At 36.5% G+C, this 18,414-nt stretch overlaps 1 protein-coding gene and 1 long non-coding RNA gene across 7 annotated transcripts in view; one reads left to right on the forward strand and one right to left on the reverse strand.

The window, feature by feature from the left end:
- Positions 1-18,414, forward strand: part of LINC01088 (long intergenic non-protein coding RNA 1088) — a 337,052-nt gene that overhangs the window by 303,542 nt on the left and 15,096 nt on the right. The gene's annotated exons all lie outside the window — the stretch shown is intronic.
- NAA11 (N-alpha-acetyltransferase 11, NatA catalytic subunit) overlaps positions 1-18,414 on the reverse strand; it is a 170,686-nt gene that overhangs the window by 119,914 nt on the left and 32,358 nt on the right. For 3 of the 6 annotated variants that reach the window (XR_001741340.2, XR_001741339.2, XR_007057977.1), the window contains exon 3: positions 14,137-15,511. The exons of 2 other annotated variants lie outside the window; for them this stretch is intronic. The gene's annotated coding sequence lies outside the window, so the exon portion shown is untranslated. Of the gene's footprint in view, positions 1-11,408; positions 15,512-18,414 lie in introns of those variants that run through there. One more of the 6 variants, XR_007057978.1, reaches the window with a different exon arrangement.

Genomic DNA, 18,414 nt, shown 5'->3' on the forward strand with positions numbered 1-18,414 from the left:
TGTCTCTGAATACAGTTGTCATGGTATATCGTTTCATGATAGGGATTGCCAAAGAAGATAAATAGTTGCCATAGGAAGAAGTGATGAAGAACTGGAAAGAATTCTGGTCATAAGAAAGGGGAAAATTGAGGCAGATTTTTTCGCCCTACTAGTTTAATATCATTTTAGAAACTATAGTCCACCAGACCTAGACCTTGTCCTGAAGTAAGGCAACATTTTCACTCACTCATTCAAAAAATGTATAATGAGTTCTTCCTTTCTGTCATATGTATAGTAGGAAAATGAACAAGAATGGGACATAGATCCTGCAAAGTTACACTGATTTTCATGTGCATTCTATCAATTTGAAATTTATATTTGATATTTATGTGAAGCAAATGGGTTATCCTGAAATCTCAGTGTGCACAGATCTAGGGCAAGGCTTTAGTTTCCTAGGGATAAGGATTATAAAACTGAGATGTGAAAACTAATGGAAAGGAAAAGTGAAAGGGCTTCAATAAAAATGTGACAATTTTCAGAGCTTGGTGAGTTATAACTTAAAAGGATATGCTGTAAGCAACATCGTAAATGCCAGTGAGTCTGGCGTGTTGTTGGATACCAACAAATGCTTGTTAATTTAAATATGTTTAAAAACCTTACAAAATAGGGGGAGGAGACCTTAACCAAACCAGTGCTTAATCACCTTGACAATACATTTGATATTTTAAAAGGACAAGATTATTTTAATGGTTTTTGTTATTGTTGCTAAAAGTTCTTACATGTCTTGCTCAATTGCTCAACATGAAGGGAATGCATGGATTCTACTATTTTATCAGCCATAGAAACTGAGGCTAGAGTACTGAATCCATTTTACAGTACTTAATAGAAATAAGAATGACTTTTGAATCTTCTGGCTCCTACTAAGAAATTTGTTTCTTTTGATCTTGTTCTTGCATTTTAAAGAGAACACATTTAAAATGCAAACGCTGCCCATAAAAGATAATAAAAGACAATGGAGACTGATAAGTCCTCAAAGACATGTCTGTGCCATCAGAAAGAAGAGACAGGTATATGATACTATAAGGTCAGCTGAAAATGAACACTGTCTACAGCCTGGAGTAATAAGTCTTACCAAGCTCTCTCTCTGCTATATCCCGAAGTTCGCCACCCTGCAGGTCAGCCCGTGAGGGCCATCCAGCTTCCATCTCCCAACACTAAGTTCACTTTGTGTCTCCCATGACAGGGAGGAAACTTAGCATTCCTTGGAGACCTGAAGACATGCAGTTAGCTTAAGAACTTTCAAGAGCTTACCAATAAGTCAGCCCTTGTTCATCCCCAAGTGGATGTGTGGTGGTATTGTGGTGGACCTTTACTGGACACTCTGCCGAATAACTGGAGTGGCACTTGTGCTTTAGTCCAATTGGCTATCCCTTTCACCCTGGCATTTCATCAACCAGAGGGAGGAAAAATAAACATCATAAAGCGAGAGAAGCCCCTTATGGGTCTTTCAACTCCCATGTCTATTTAGACGCAATTGGAGTCCCATGGGGAATACCAGATCAATTTAAAGCCCGAAATCAAATAGCTGCAGGATTTGAGTCAATATTTTGGTGGGTGACAGTTAGTAAAAATGTAGATTGGATAAACTACATCTATTACAACCAACAGCGATTTATTAACTACACTAGAGATGCCGTTAAAGGAATAGCTGAACAATTAGGGGCTACTAGCCAGATGGCTTGGGAAAATAGGATAGCCTTAGACATGATATTAGCAGAAAGAGGAGGAGTTTGCATCATGATTAAAACTCAATGTTGCACCTTCATCCCAAACAACACTGCCTCTAATGGAAGTATAACAAAGGCATTGCAAGGTCTGACTGCTCTATCCAATGAGTTAGCCAGCAACTCAAGGGTAAATGACCCCTTTACAGGATGGCTAGAAAAGTGGTTAGGTAAATGGAAAGGAATAATAGCCTCAATTCTTATTTCCCTCGCAGCCGTTATAGGTGTACTTATTCTTGTCGGGTGCTGTGTCATACCATGTATCCGTAAGTTGGTGCAGAGGCTCATAAAAATGGCACTTACTAAAACCTTCCTTAACTGTCCTCCACCTTATCCAGAGAAGCTTCTTCTTTTAGAAAATCAAGCAAAATAACTAAGCTATGTTTAAAAAGTTTGAAAAGAAAGCTGTAAGGAAATACAAGAGGAGGGGTTGTTAGATATGAATTCTAAATTTCTTTTCAAAGAATTAATATGTCATTATGTTCAATTCTTTGCCTTCTACTTTTAAACTTAACTTCCTCGTAAAGCAATCTTTTTTGATTACCTACTCCACCCTGACTCATTCTGATTACCTGCTCCACCCTGACTCATTCCAATCACCTGCTCCACCCTAACTCATTCCGATTACCTGCTACCTGCTCTGCCCTGACTCCCGCCAAAGCACTCACCCCGTCATTCTCTTTAAATTAGCCAATCGGAATTAGTTTAGCCTGTGCAGTCTAACCCTAGCCAATAGGGAAACAACACAGCAGCAGGAGCCACATGCGTCAGGGATAAGAACCCCTTCCCCTCCCTTGTCCAAGTGTGCGCTCACCATTGTTCCATCTGTAAGGGTGCACCCTTCTACATAGAAGTAACTTGCCTTGCTGAAAATTAAAAAGAAAATTAAAAAAAAAAGAAGAAGAAAATGAACACTGTCTCACCAGGTGTCCTGGAATTATTTATTTGAAAACAGCTTTGGAAAGAATTTGGCCAGAAGGAGCTTCCCTTTTCAGTACTTTCATTTCTTAGACTCCCCATGACTACCTTCCTTACAAACTTCAACCTAAACCCCATTCAATTAGCCAGTCCTAGGGATTTAAATTTTTTCTTTAACCTCTTCTTTCCTCTCCACTGCCTTATTTTTGTCCCTTGTTGTCTTCTACTTTGACTTTTGTAGTAACTCTCTAATTGAAATCTGTTACCTGATCTTGTCCCCTCAAATTCATCTTCCATGCAGTTACCAGTGACTCAGCCAATGAACGTCTCATTATGCTGTTTTCTTTCTTAAACACATCTTATTATTCCATATTGCCAAAAGAAGAAAGTACAAGTTTTCAAACATCTTGTACTAAGCCCTGAATTACCTAGTTCCTACCTCTTCAATCCTATCTCTCACTTTCCCTACTTTGAAAATTTTTCCCTAAACTGCTTATAATCGCCTTGCACTTTATTAATTCTATTATCTTTGATGACAATGACTTGTTCATATTTCTTTGCCTGAAAAACTCCTAAATAATCCTATGGATACCTCTCCAGAGTTACATCTGCCAGGAAGCCCTTCTAGACCACTCAGGGCATAATAGTGTTCTTTTCCCTGTGTTGTATTTTGGCCTTACCCTTATCATATCAAACATATCATATTACATTATATTATATCACATCTTGTTTTTAGTTTATCTGTTTGAGGTCTAGACTGTGAAATACTTGAACGCTACTATAAAATCACATCTTATTGATATGAGGATTCTCAACATCCTTTATAATACATGTCTTAGTACATTTATCCTGCTATAACAGAGTAACACAGACTTGATAATTTATAAAGAACAGAAATTTGTTTCCCACAGTTCTGAGGTCTGGGAAGTCCAAGATCAAGATGTCAGCATTTGGTGTGGGCCTTCTTGCTTCATCCTTACATGGTAAAAGACAGAAGGGCAAGATAGGGTGAACCTGCTATTGCAAGCCCTTGTTAGAGTAGCATTAATCCATTCATGAGGGTAGGGCCCTCATGACCTAAACACCTCCCAAAAGACCTAACCTCTTTACACTGTTGTATTGAGGGTTAAGTTTCTAACATATGAATTTTGGGGAACACATTTAGACCACAGCAGTAGGTACCCAATAAATATTTGTTTGATACAGATACAAATGCTGACTATTATAGTAATGTATATCATCTTTCTATGTGCCAGGCAATATACTAAGTGCTTTGCATACATTTTCTCATTTAATTCTCCTAACAAATCTAGGAGATGAGCACTATTTTATTTTCATTTAGGAAATGAGAAACTGAGGCTCAGAGAAAATATGTAACTTGCTTTAGGTTACAGCAAGTGGTGGAGTCAGGGTTATATTGCAAGTCTGACCAGCTCTTTTAAGTGCTCTGCTAAACACAACTAGAAATTTGGGATACATCAGGCAACATAGCATAAAGATCTCTGATCTTGAGGAGCTTATATTCTAGTGGAGTGACAGAAAATAAAAAGCAAACATAGTAACTAAGATAATTGTATAGAAGACTGGAAGGTGATATTGGGGATATCTCAACTCTGGGTCATTGCTTTGCTACTCTAATGACCAGTCTTGGCTTTGTGAATCCAGGGCTGGCCAGAGCCTCTGGATCCCTCTGTATGTGCCAAATAGAATATTTTGGTGAAATGACATGATTAAATGAGTTAATAAAGGTGAAAATATGTTGTAAACCTGTTTCATACCTGATTATTGCAGAACATCACTGTTTTCTAAAGTGTTAGCTGGCAAGCCTTAGAGGAGGCAACCCAGGACTCATAGATACTAAGCAATACCCCAGCCTTTCTGCCTAAATCAAATCCCTGGTGCTACTGGGGAAATGGGAGAGGATGGGGGTGCACTTGAAGAACAGAGCAGAAATAAAAGATCTGTTCAGGGAGATGTGTCTATTTCCCCTCAGATAACCAGTATGGGCAACATTCATGGATGTTTTGCCACTTTCCTCTTTGGGTGCACAAAGAAAAGTTCTGAAGATATAATAATGCTGCTCCACAAGGAGGCCACAACGGAGTCATTTTTTAAAGGACCTATAATATTTACATAAAATATACAAATTAAAATGCGAGCAAGTAATGTTAAGTGCTGAATGTCAGGTACAAATTAATAACTTCCATAAAAGTTTCCAGAAGACAATGATGATTGAAATCAGGCAGATTGTGAAGGCTTTAAAGAGGCAGTAAGGTTGTGCCTCTTTTTGAGGCACAGTTCTTCCTCCAGATACAATGTTGGTAAGACCAGGAATCACTGTGCCCTCCCGTAACTAAAGAGTGGGCATGCAGCCCGGTCCAGGTTAATTAAATGTTATTTTCCTGGGATTTGGCTCTTGAGACAAAGAGTGATGCAAGGCAGAAAAGTTGTTTATACTCACTTTTTCTGGTATTAGGACCCTGAGAATACTATCTTTTAGTTCCTATAACTTAGGTTCTACTTTGGTTGTTATCCTTTCTGAGTCTGTCGTGGTTTTTTGTTTGTTTTGTTTTGTCGTTTCTTCTTGCTCTAGCTTTTCCTTGAATTCTGATACATTTTGATACTTTTTTTTTCCTATTAAGTTTTTGAGAGTCAGTTTCTGTTTCTTGTGCCTGGAGAATCCTGACTGATATAGGGGCTTCAGGAAACTCTGTGGAGTTTGAGGACAAAGGCGGTATCTTTCATTTTTGTGTATATCCAGCAACAATGCCTGGCTCTAACACATGATTTTAATTAATATTAACAGAAATAAAATGTGTGTGCATGAACTGGACTGAGTGGAAGTGTTCATATGATGGAATGAAGAAAAGTAATATAAAGAAAGTTATAGGGACTACATTGAGGAAAGCCTTGAAAGACAGATTGAAGCCTCAATTTTGGGGGCATTGGGAAGTCTTGGAAGTTTCTGCACACAAGGTTGCAGGGTGTGGTGAGTGAGGGAGTGATATAAGAATAGTGTTTCAGGAAGGTTAACTGAACAGGCAAAGAAACAACTAACACTTATCAATGCTTTCCAGGCTCCAGTGCAAATGTTTCCTAGCAATTAACTCACCAATTCCTCACAGCTGTCTACAGCTGGGTACCATCATTATCCTATCCCCAGTTTACAGATGAGGAAGCAGAGGCACAGACTTGCCAAACAATTTACCAGTCAAACAGCAAATGGCAAACATGGGCAGTCTGAAAAGCATTTAACTATTACATTCTACTGCCTCCCTCTATAGTATGGCTATGCAGATGGAGGAAAAAAAAAAAAACATTCTCAAGGAGACAGTAAAGAATCCAACTGTAGAAATGATGTGGCATAGATAATAAATACATATCATAAAGTAAGAGTTGTCAGGACTTGGCATCACTAGATGTGGGCTGATATTGGATAAAATCAAGGCCCATTAATTACTTAGCTAGTAATTTATCCATTAATTTTATCAACATTTATTGAGTACCCACCAAATATCATGCACTGTTATATCTACTAGTGATACCACAGTGCACAAAGCAGACAAGTTCTTTGTTGTCGAGTCCATATTCTACTACAAGATAAGTGATTAATAAATAAAAAATATCAGGTAACAATAAGTGCTATGATGAAAATAAAAGAAGGCAATAGAGACTGATTAGGATCTGATTACATAGACAGTACTCAAGGAAGGCCTCTCTAAGGAATTAGCATGTACACAATGACAAATTACATCCCTATTATCTGCCACAGAGCCTATCAGGCTGTCCAAGGGAGAGAATACAGTCATGGGTTCTTAGTTTCTGTTTCTGATTAAGCCAGTAAAGCTCCTTCCTCAGAGAGACAGAAACTAAACACCATGGCTGCAGGCTTCTAAAAGCCTAAAACAAAACAAAATAGAACAACAACAACAAAATAAGGCAGGTTGGACAAGCTCTAGACCCTTTAAAAAATATTTGCTGAATGAGTGAATGAAGTGATTTGAGGAACTTGAAAAGCAAGAAATTACATTTTTCCAGGATGGGTGGGACTGTCATGAAAGAAACAAAACTTCTTTCAATGACCTGAATGATGGGAATTAACCAACCTTCTAAAGATCTAGGGACAAAGTGTCCTGGCAGGGGGACCAGCAAACACAAAGCCCCAAGAAAAGAACGAATGGCATGCTTGGCATGCTTGAAGAACACAAGTAAGGCAAATGTGTCTGGGATGTAGTGGGAAAAGAGTATAAAGAGGTGAAGGCAGAGAAGTAAACACAGCCCACATTATACAAGGTGCTGGATGACAGGCTTAGGGGTTTTAATTTGGAAGGTTTAAATAGAACAGTTACATAATATAAATTCTGTTTTTTAAAAAAGTCACTCTGGCCAACCTGTGAAAAAGGAATTATAGCATGATAGGAGTAGAAGCCAAGCACTATATTAGGAGACAATAGAAGAAGTCCAGTTTGTAGCTATTGAGATGGAGTTCATGGAAATATTTCAGAGGTGGAATTGACAAGAATGGCTGATGGGTTAGACAGCAAAGAGAGGGAAGGAAAGGTTTTCTAAATGTTTCCTAGATCAACTAGATAGATTGTGATATATTGAAAAATTTCCTAGAGCAAACAGATAGATTGTGGTGTATTGATGATTGTTTAAAAAAACAAGGAGGAAGATAAGTTTTGCAAATCTCAGAAGTTTTGTTTGAGGCATGTTAATGAGTTGCATATTAGAAATTCCAGTGGAAATGTCAAGAGGTCAATTGGATCTAAAAGCCTATTTCAGGTGAGGTTCAAGGCTAGAGAAAGAAATTTCAGATCACTGGAAATACGGAATTATTTAACTCCATGGAACTGGATGAAATTGCCTAGTAAGAGAGTGTAGACTAAAGAAGAAAAAGATCCCCAGCTACAAACTCTGAGGCTTTCCGGTATTTCAAATGTAGCAGAGAATAAGGAACCAGCAGAGGAATGGCCAGTAAGGATGGAGGAAGTAGAGTGAAGTATCTGAGAGCCAAACTCAGAGAGGCTTTTGAGGACAGAAGGGTTCACCATGGCCAACGCTGCTGAGAAGTCTCTAAATATAAGAGCAAAAGTGTTACTGTTGGATGTGGAAACATGCAAATCATTGGTGATCTCAATGTGCAATCTCAGTGGAAGGTGAGGCAGAAAGCCTACAGGAATTAGTTGAGGAGAAAATAGAAGGTAATGCAATAGAGAAGAGACTATAGACAACCTTGTCAAGAATGTTCACTGTGAAGGGTGTAGTATAAAGGGATAGTAGTGAATAAAATGTCAAGAAGTTTTTTTTTAATGAACAAACCTAAAGGTTTTTTTAATGCTAATGAAAATGATCAAATGGAGGAAGAAAAGTTAATAATGTCATAATTACGGAAGGTAACTTTTTTTTAGAAGGCTGGAAAGTGGTGGAGTGTACAGGGGAGACCTGGGCTTTGATAAGAGGACCACATCTTCTATTCTAACAGCAAGAAAGGCAGAGATTACAGGTAGTGATGCAGGTAGATTGGTATATTTTGTGTTGGTAAGATGAGGGAATTTCTGTTTGATTGCTTCTATTTTAATCAGAAAAGCAAAGGCAGAATTTCAAGTCTGGGTAACGAAGAAAATAATGGAACAAATTACGCACACCAACACAAAATCTCTAAGGGTATGTGCTAACTTCAAACATATAGAGAAGCAGAGGGCTTAGAAGAGCTGTATAGTCACTGTATGTCTGTGATAAAATGTGGTCTCAAAATCTATGCATATCATTCAAGTGGTAGAAGTTGGGGAAGGAGAGATATAATTTTGCAAAATTCCAAAAGTTTTAAAAAATATCTGTACTAGAAAATTGGTTATAGTGGTATGCTTTAATTCTTTGTGGAACCACAGAACATATAAATAAATAAATATATTTAATCCTGTTATGTTAATTGGAATTATATTTTTTCCTTACCTATCCATCCCTATTACCTGCCACAGAGCTTAGGGCTTTTAACAAATATTTGTTGAATGAATGAATGAATGAAGTGATTGAGGAACTTGGAAAACAAGAAATTACATCTTTTCAGGGTAGATGGGGCAGTACATGAAAGAAACAAAACTTTATAAATGCAATGCTTTGTCTCTAAACCCAAAAACAAAAGTCCATTTGGGAGGCAACAGCCCTAAGGCAGCAAACTCTTGAGAAATTTAGCTCAACTTTTATCCAACTCTGTAAATTACTAATCATATTAATTTGAAAGGCTCTACAGAGGTTGTGACCCTAAGTAACAATCCCATGTCCCTCTCAGGGCTATAGTGTCCCACCAAAGTCAATGCTTAACCATGGCTCTGGAGTAATGGAAGGCAATATGAATCAGTATAAAGGAGTCTCATCAACAAAATGCTTTTCTATTTACTTCTTAAATCGAATCTTGACTGTCATAGGGTATCTTCCTCTGAGGTAGAGCATAAATTTTGATATCCATGTCTATCAATCAAGTTTGATTCAAGAGTATCAGGTTGATTATTTTTAAAAAATCTACCATTAGTCATCATAGGTAACAGCCTCTAGCATAACAGATTCTAGTTATTGTTGTTTCTTGAAGAATGATTGATGTCTTAAAGAATGATTGAGGGCCGGGCGCGGTGGCTCACGCCTGTAATCCCAGCACTTTGGGAGGCCGAGGCGGGTGGATCATGAGGTCAGGAGATCGAGACCATCCTGGCTAACAAGGTGAAACCCCGTCTCTACTAAAAATACAAAAAAAATTAGCCGGGCGCGGTGGCGGGCGCCTGTAGTCCCAGCTACTCGGGAGGCTGAGGCAGGAGAATGGCGTGAACCCGGGAAGCGGAGCTTGCAGTGAGCCGAGATTGCGCCACTGCAGTCCGCAGTCCCACCTGGGCGACAGAGCGAGACTCCGTCTCAAAAAAAAAAAAAAAAAAAAAAAAAAAGAATGATTGAGGTCTTTAAGAATGTGCATACTCAGTATTAAAGTATTGGTTAGGAGGTAGGTGACTAATTTAGCACATTTTTTGAAAGAGTGTTGGTAGATTCTTTAGTGGGGTGCATTTAAAATCAATCAGATATTACACTGTAGCTTTTGCAGCATTGGACAGAACCAGTAGATGGTGGTCTTAAGTTGCAAGTTGCTTTTACGCTAACACCTGTCAGCATGTGAAACAACTACTGCTTTCAACAAAATGTTGAAATTCACCTTTCTATTTATCAGATGCCATAAATTGGATGAAGGTGGCACATGAGAGCATTTTGAAGTGACATGTTAACTGTTGTTTATTTTTCAAAAGCACTGATCTGAAAGAACACACAGACTATTCATCACAGCACTTTAAAACTATGCAGTGTTTTTATCAGAAACAGATATAAATGGCTTTGCCTATTGTTTATCTTTTCTTCAAAAATTAAAAAATTAATTTCTGATTTAGAATGCTGTCTGTTGGAAGTCTGAAAAACCAAGAGCAACTCTAAGCTGCAATACCTAAATAAGATATTCACTTAACTTTCACTATTGTTAAATGCACTTCTGAAATTCAATTGCAAGAGTATTACAATACCTTGTAATTATGCAGACTGACTAGAGTTAAAGACTTTGGAAATTAATTTTGAGTTGAAATATTAAATGAAGTAGAATGTTTTATCATAATGGCATAATTTAAAACTAACTAAAAATAGCATTAATAATAATCATGATCACTCTCCTTTCATTAAAAGAAGAGATTTAGTACTAAATTATTAAATGATCAAATTTACGGTGCCCAAGTTAGTAAAGATTTTCTAGTAGTGTAAATCATGCTACATGATTTCTGTCTCATGACTATAGCAAATTAGTCACTATAGTAAATTTTAGAGGCTGTTAATAATACAAACACTTCAATGTTGGAAGCTTTGGTAGAATGATACTGCATGCATCCTTAGGCATTCAAATATTCCATTTTTTTCTCCCAACAGTGTATTATATAACTGCCATAGGTAGTATCAAGGATGGGCAATTACACCTTGAACAAAAGGAAAGGATAAGCACTTTATTTTTATAAGCCAGTGATTTATGAGAAGTGATTTCTGCTTCCAGACATTAACCTTTGTCCTCTTTCTATTCAACAGTCTTCTGATTTTACTCTGAAATTTTACTGTCTGTATTCTAAGCAGAACATATGTTGCTCATTTTCTTTAATAATCCTCAGATCAACTAAATTTAAGAGAATTCTACGAACCCACAATGGCTGAAATGATTACTTTTAAATTTACTTAAAATCATCCTAATATACACACTTGATTTCTTAATAAATGAATAAACTGTACCAGTATACAAATTGTGACACAGTAAGCAGTCTAAAATAGAAAGCAAATATACACCAACCTCTTAATAATAAACGCTTGAGCAATGAGGATGAGGTGGGCAAATAAGGTGAAGGGATGTTTGCCTTGTGTATTCTACATGTTTCTTAAAGGAAGTGTTTATAGATGTTTCAAAGTATATGTGTGTTATAGATTTGTGTTTAATATATTTGAATGTCTCCTACTTCTTTAGTCATGAATGTAATTTTTAATATCTGAATCATATTTCAGAAAGTTATCAGATCTGAGAATCTCTAGTCACATGAGATTACAGTTGATTGAAACACATGTAAAAATGCTGTGACTCGCTCAAATAACTTTTTACATTTTTATTTCTTTTCGAGTATAATAATCACTGTCAATAAGGGATTTGTACTATAAAGAATATGTATTACGTATCTGCTAATACATAATGGAAATTTTTGAAAGTTGTGGGCAAATATTTCACCTCACCAAATTTACCATTATAGAATAACTTCTGAGACTGTTAGAATTATTTTGGACTGGGTTGTTAATTTAGGGTAAACCAGCCATTTGTTACTTTTCTTTGACATCATAACATTTTGCCCATGAGTTCTTTACCCCCATCACCCCCAAAACATTTTGGCACATGGGAATACATGTTGCTACAAAAAAATTCTCATGAAAAATATGGATTAAAGATGGTATGGTACAAAACCAAAGTAGCGCACTCTCCTTCACAAGGCTGTGAGGTGTCATTAACAAGAGGCTAGTTATTAATAGTCACACATTCTTGGTCATTTATTTAGCATGTTTATAGCACTTTACAAAGTGCTATGTTAGTGAATTCAATATAATTGCTATATTTATAACCTCAAACTCACTGTAGTTTGAGATAATTGTGTGTGTGTATTTTTGTAACGTATTAATTCCACAGCTGGGATATTCAGTGGAGAACCACATATGTCATATTAGGACATTTAATTAGACTCAGGAGTCAAACAGACATCTGAAAACATCTATGGACTCATTAGTATAGTTCCAGTAGCTCCTTTGGCTTTGACATAACTCAGGAAATAGGAAATCATAACATCATAAATAGTGTTCATCTGAACCTTTCGGGGTAGCCAGAGCAATTTTAAGCCAATCATTTCTCACTAGGCTAATACTTGTCAAGTCTCTTATTCAGGTAAGTTTTTTTTTTCTTTTTTATTCTTTTGGATATTCAGTGGCCAATGAGGTGTAATAAGTTTTAGCAAATTGAGGCTGAGGTCTCTTAGGTTAGCTTTATTATTTGCTGTAAATTACATCAGCTTTATAACTGCTTAACACAGCTCTTGAATCAAGAAATATCACACCTGAATTTTTCTGTTCAGGCTGAATGACTGGCATGTGTGTGTGTCTGTGTGTGAGTGAGAGAAAGAGGGAGAGAGAGAGAGAGAGAGAGCACCCCTGGAATTCAGGATTAAAACTGCTGCTTTCAGATTGTCAAACTGATTTATATTTTAACTGTTGGATAGCTGAAGTGACAACTAAATAGGATCTTAACAGACTAGCATTTTCCCACATTTTTTTCTCTTTGCAGATTATAATTTGGTAAATTGTTATATATTTTAATTGCACTCTGTATTCCATCTTTGGTTGACATTGAGTTGAACTTTGGATTTTGGATTTTATTTTATATGTCAGGCTCAAAACAATGAGGTGTGACTTGAGTGACTTGCTTCTCATAATCTCACATCTGTTATTTTAAACACAAGAAAGCCAGGCTCCACTATGAGAAGGCCCCTCACTTGCTAAGTAGCAGGCTTACAGAAGGAGACACTCTCAGCAGAGGGAACTGGTGCAGAAGATTCTCTTTCTTCTCTTAGTAGCTTTCGATAGGTCAGCAAATCAGAATTGTTTGCTGTTTTCCTTCTTTCCCCACTGACACCTCATTACAGAATGGGGTGTTTTTTCCCCCAGTCTGTATTAGCAGAAACAGAAAAGTAATTAATACATAAAGTACCAAATATGAAATATTACTCTGCACAGACGCATTTCACACTTCATTGATTTCATGAGTAGGCCAGAGGTGCCAGAACAATAATTAATATGTTGTAAGAAAAAAAACATTATGCAAGGTCAGCAGCATTTGAAGACTTTACAAGGAAGAGGCATTAAAAGATATGCTGCAACTATTTCTTAAATACAGCTTTAAATTGGGATTTAAATGAATATTTGAAGAAATACACAGATTTACTATGAGAACTTGGTAGGAATTTTTCATCTGTTAGTATGCTTGTGTATGCAAACATAGTATGTACCAATATACTGGCATTTTAGAGAAAATATGAATAAATACGTGTGGATAAATTTGTGTGTGGATTTATGCTTGGCTTTATAGATATCATTATTTACATTTCTGAATTTTCAATGAAATAGCAAAATTTAAAACTCAAGTAAATTTATTTTATATTATTTAAAAATTACTAAACAATACATGTTTGTTCAAAAAATCATTTAAATTTCAGAAAATCAAGAACAGAAACCTTAAAGTCATTCATAATCCTACCATGCTGATATAAGATGTTAATATTTTGGTGTATATCCTCTGAAGACTTTTCCTCTGTGAAAAACAGGATGCTGTAATATTGTCTTCAGTATACTTTTTCACTTATTAAATGATTATTCTTTATGTCATTCAATATTTTTCTACAATATTTTTGATGGCTACATAACATTCCACTGGTATGATGTATCATTATATATTTAAACAATCTTCTGTCAAGGGACATACAAATGGTTTTTAATTTTTTAAAAATTGCAGTGAATATCACTAGAGCTATATCTTCATAATGCCCTTTGGCACATCCCTAGAAATGAAATTCTGATGGCTTTGACAGACATTGCCAAGTTGTCCTCCAGAAAGGTGTCTCAGTTTATTCCCAACACAATGTGGATTTCAAATTCCCTCTCAGTTGTGATTATAAAGCTCTTCTTTCTAATCTGCCTTCTACATGACTCTGATATCATGTCATAAGTAATGGATTTTTCAGGATAAATGGAAGGCAATTGAGAGAAAAATCTCAAAACAATTTCAAAAGCAAAATATTTGCAGTGATTGTCTTAAGGCCAAAGTTAGCAAATTCATTTAACATCATACATTTATCCCAAATTGAAAACTACGAATAGCCATTATTTACTAAGTGCTTACCATGCAGCAGTGATAACTTTGCAATAGTTCTATGTGCTTTACATCAATTATCTCGTTTTTTTATCCTCACAAAATTACCCTGTGGAATATGTTTTTGATGTTCCTTGTGAAGAAAAAGCCAGAACTCAGACAATTTATAAATAAATTGCTCAGTCACACAGCTAGTTGGTGGGAAGCTGGGATTTGAATTCAGAACAGTATGATTCAAAAGATTATATTTCAGCTACTAGAAGGATCATAAATTTGTAGTTCTGAAAATGTTTTACCTCAAAATAGTACACAGTATAGCTCATTTGTAGATTTGCAACAGCAACATTTTACCTCAATTTATTGTCATTTGGTATTACGATTGAAGATATCTGCTTGGATAAACTTTGGATTTTTACCACCTGGACCTGTGATAATAAACAGTAGGTCTCTCATTTCTCAAACACAAGGTGTTAGGAAGGCTGCTGCTGGGTTGGCAGAGGAGGTTCTCAGCCGTTCTCAGTGCATATGGCTCTTTGGGGTAGAAAGCGACCACCAGGCCCTCTCTTTTGCTCTCCTTTTCTCACAAATTGTAGTCCATATGATAGATATTCTGACTTTCTTGTTTACTTCCTTTTTGAAGGTGAGTTTGAGGTGATATAAAGAAGCAAAGGGCCAGGAAACTGACAGCAGAGAACGCTGGGTCTCTCCAGGAAGGTTTCCTTGGTCCCAAGATTTTATGTCCAAAATTGAACCAGGAGCCTCTCTAGTGGGATGTTTCTCTGGTTGACACAGTTGTGGGAGGGTTAGGATGGGGAGATGGGAGGAAGATACGGCATAGATAATATTCAATCCCAAATGTAATGGAACTCAGAACAGAAAAAGGAAAATGGTGTGCTCTATCCCAGATATGAAGCTCAACAAAGTAACATCATTAGGGCCAGAAATTGTCCTGTTGTGGCATTCCAAAAGCATATGAGCCTCTGTCCTACTCATTATGAATCTTTATCCTTTCCTCTCCCTCTGCTCTCTCTCTCATCAGCAGGCTAAAGAGAGGATACATCTCTCGCTTAAGCTTGGGGCTTTTTGGCACGAAGCTTGATTGTCTCGGTTTCTTCTTGGCAGATTTAAATTGTTAGAGAAATGAAACTCGTTTGAAAACAGTAGGCCCTGGCAGGCACTCTCCCAGGCATTGCCCAGGACTCCAGGAACAGTTGTCAACTTGCTGCATGGCATTTGTCTAGGTTGGGTTTGATCTTAGTCTCAGATCCCATATGGTAAGAAATAATTCTGTTTTAAAGTTTTGTGTATGATTGAGGTCAGAAGAGGGAGAGAACTTGCTGCATATGGAGTCTGCAGATTTTTTATACTGAAATTAAGATTTAATAAAGATGGAGTAAGAACAAAAATTATTTGCATGAAAATGAGACAAAACTGAAAAGGGTATTTTTCTTTTCTCTGAATGTAAATCTCTATTTGACTATTAAATTCCTTAATTTTAAGATATTTCTATCATTGTGGAAGTACAAGAATACTGACAACTAATATGTATGTACAATATGGTATGTTAGAAATTAAAAGCACATTCACATATATATATTACTGAGTTTGAAAAAAACAGTTTTACTACAAATGGGGAAACAAAATAAAATAGTACCATTTCTAGTAGTATTAGTTCTTATATAATTTATTATCCAAGTTTTTGGTTTATTTTAAAAGAGCGTGTACAGCACCATATAAAGAATCTGGGCCAGGTGCAGTGGTTTACGCCTATAATCCCAGGACTTTGGGAGGCTGAGACCAGAGGATTGCTTAAGACCAGGAGTTGGGGACCAGCCTGGGCAACATATTGAGATCCTGTCTCTACAAAAAAACGAAAAAATCAGCTGGGCATGGTGGTGTGTAACTGTAGTCTCAGCTACTAGGGGGTCTGAGGCAGGAGGATCACTTCAGCCCAAGAGATCGAGGCTGAAGTGAACTATGATGGTGCCTGTCTACTCCAGCGTGAGCAAAAGAGTGAGACCCTGTCTCAAAATTAAAAATAAAAAAGAATTGGGCCGGGCCTGGTGGCTCACCTGAGGTTAGGTGTTCGAGACCAGCCTGACCAACATAGAGAAACCCTGTCTCTACTAAAAATACAAAATCAGCTGGGCGTGGTGGTGCATGCCTGTAATCCCAGCTACTCGGGTGGCTGAGGCAGGAGAATCGCTTGAACCTGGAAGACAGAGGTTGCGGTGAGCCAAGATCACCCCAATGCACTCCTGGGCAGCAAAAGTGAAACTCCGTCTCAAAAAAGAAACAAACAAATAAATAAATGTAAAATAAAAAAAAATCTAGTAGGCAATAATATGCTTAGAGGTTCTGATGAAACATGTTATATAGTATTTTCAAGTTTTTCTTTAGACTTCCAATAGGACATAGTAATAGTAAATAATTGAAATTAAAATGCTTCCCCAAAATTTGAGATGTGGGTAGATAAGCATAAATTTTTGAATCAATTTCTAGTTAAATCCATACTGTAATTTGATTGTGCAATTACAAATTTCATCTTCTTTTCTCCATCTCTATACCACTATTTGGAGAGAGAGATGGCTACTTAACAGCTGGAACTGTGAAAACAGAATAAATTTCAGAGCATCTAAATGTGTGTGCCGCTCCAATAAATATTTTAGACATCAGAAACAGTTGATGTTGTCAACCCCTAAGTGTCAGGTCTACTTCCTCTGTTTATTTTTCCCCTACCACCCACTACTGTTTCTCTTTGACACACAGCCTCTTCTTATTGCAGAATCTCAGAGGAGCAAACACTAGGCCCTTTTCACAGAATCAGTTTAATATAGACTAGTATGAATGATGATTCATACTATTCAAAGAACTATTAATGAAAACTTTCTATATCTGGTGGTTCATGGGTTAAACTCAGTTGTCACCCGACATCTCCAAACTGATTTTTGACCTGGATTTGTTCCTTACATATATGACCATCTCCTTCCATTAACTCAGGTTAAGCAGAAGCTAAAACAGAATAGAGTAAACCAGGGGTAGAGGACCAATCTGATTAAATCTAACAATTTGTACATCTGTGCCTGACTTTCATCACTTCTTATGATTGCGTATAAAGTACCTGCTGTTGAATGAGGGATTAAGCCCATTCCAATTATTGATGCTTTTTAACTTTACAGATGTCAAAGGCATTCCTTCAAACCTGTTCATTTCCAGAGCAAGGCTTTTCCAGATGGGAATTAGAAAGCAAGATTTGACAAAATCTGCTTCTCTGTTACTCAGTACAAAGGAATATTACAGTAACGCTCCCATTTCTGTTAATCCATTCATTTCAGGTTTGATTTACCTTTTTTGCTTTGATCTAAAAATCTCTGTGGCTTTATAGGATTATATGTTGCTATATTCAGGTTTTGAATGAATCACACTGTATGCATTTTAATATGATTTCTCTGACTCCAAAGCCAGGATTAACCTGTTGTTTTTGATTAAAAAGATGCTATGTCTAGATTTCAGAGGAGTGTTAGATTTCTCTGCTTATCTACTGTTTTTCTTCTTTTTAAATAGACAAAAGAAATTATATTTGTTGTCTATATTGATGAAATAAAGAAAAAAAGTATAGTTTTTTAAAGAATTTAAATATTAACACTCAATATAAACTGTTGTATAAATAAGAGTGAAAGTTTTTTTTAACACTGTGTTTTGCATGCCCTCTGTTGACTTCTTGCTAAATCGTGATTACTAAAGTAGACCTCATTTAAACCACAGGAAAGAAAAACTTTGGTGACTGGTCATGTCATAGAAATTAGATATTTTTTAAAAATGGTTACCTTAGTGTTTAAAAACAAAGGGAAAGACTCTGATCTTCCCTCATTCGGTGCTGCCAACTTTTCTTGACTCTTCTAAAATTGTATGTGAAGCAAAAAGTTACAGTAGAGAATCCCAATAATATTCTAAAGAATAACAATATAGTAATGGCAAAATCTTAGAGATGCTTAAAATGGACAGACACTGCTCTAAAAACTTTACCTATATCAAGTCAATTAATTTTCCCAAAGCATTTGGAAGTTGATCCCATTATTTTAATTATACAGATAAGGAAAATGAAGACAGAAGTGAAGAAATTATTCAAGCTTATATGGCAGAAGCATGGTTCAAACTTGGCAAATTTGGTTCAAGTCCATGTTCTTAACCACTATGCTAGTTATGTTTACATGGTCAACCCAGAAAATATATAAAATGAATTAAACTCAATCTAATGAGAATATGGTA

Source organism: Homo sapiens, chromosome 4, assembly GCF_000001405.40.
Source record: "Homo sapiens chromosome 4, GRCh38.p14 Primary Assembly".
Classification (NCBI taxonomy): domain Eukaryota; kingdom Metazoa; phylum Chordata; class Mammalia; order Primates; family Hominidae; genus Homo; species Homo sapiens.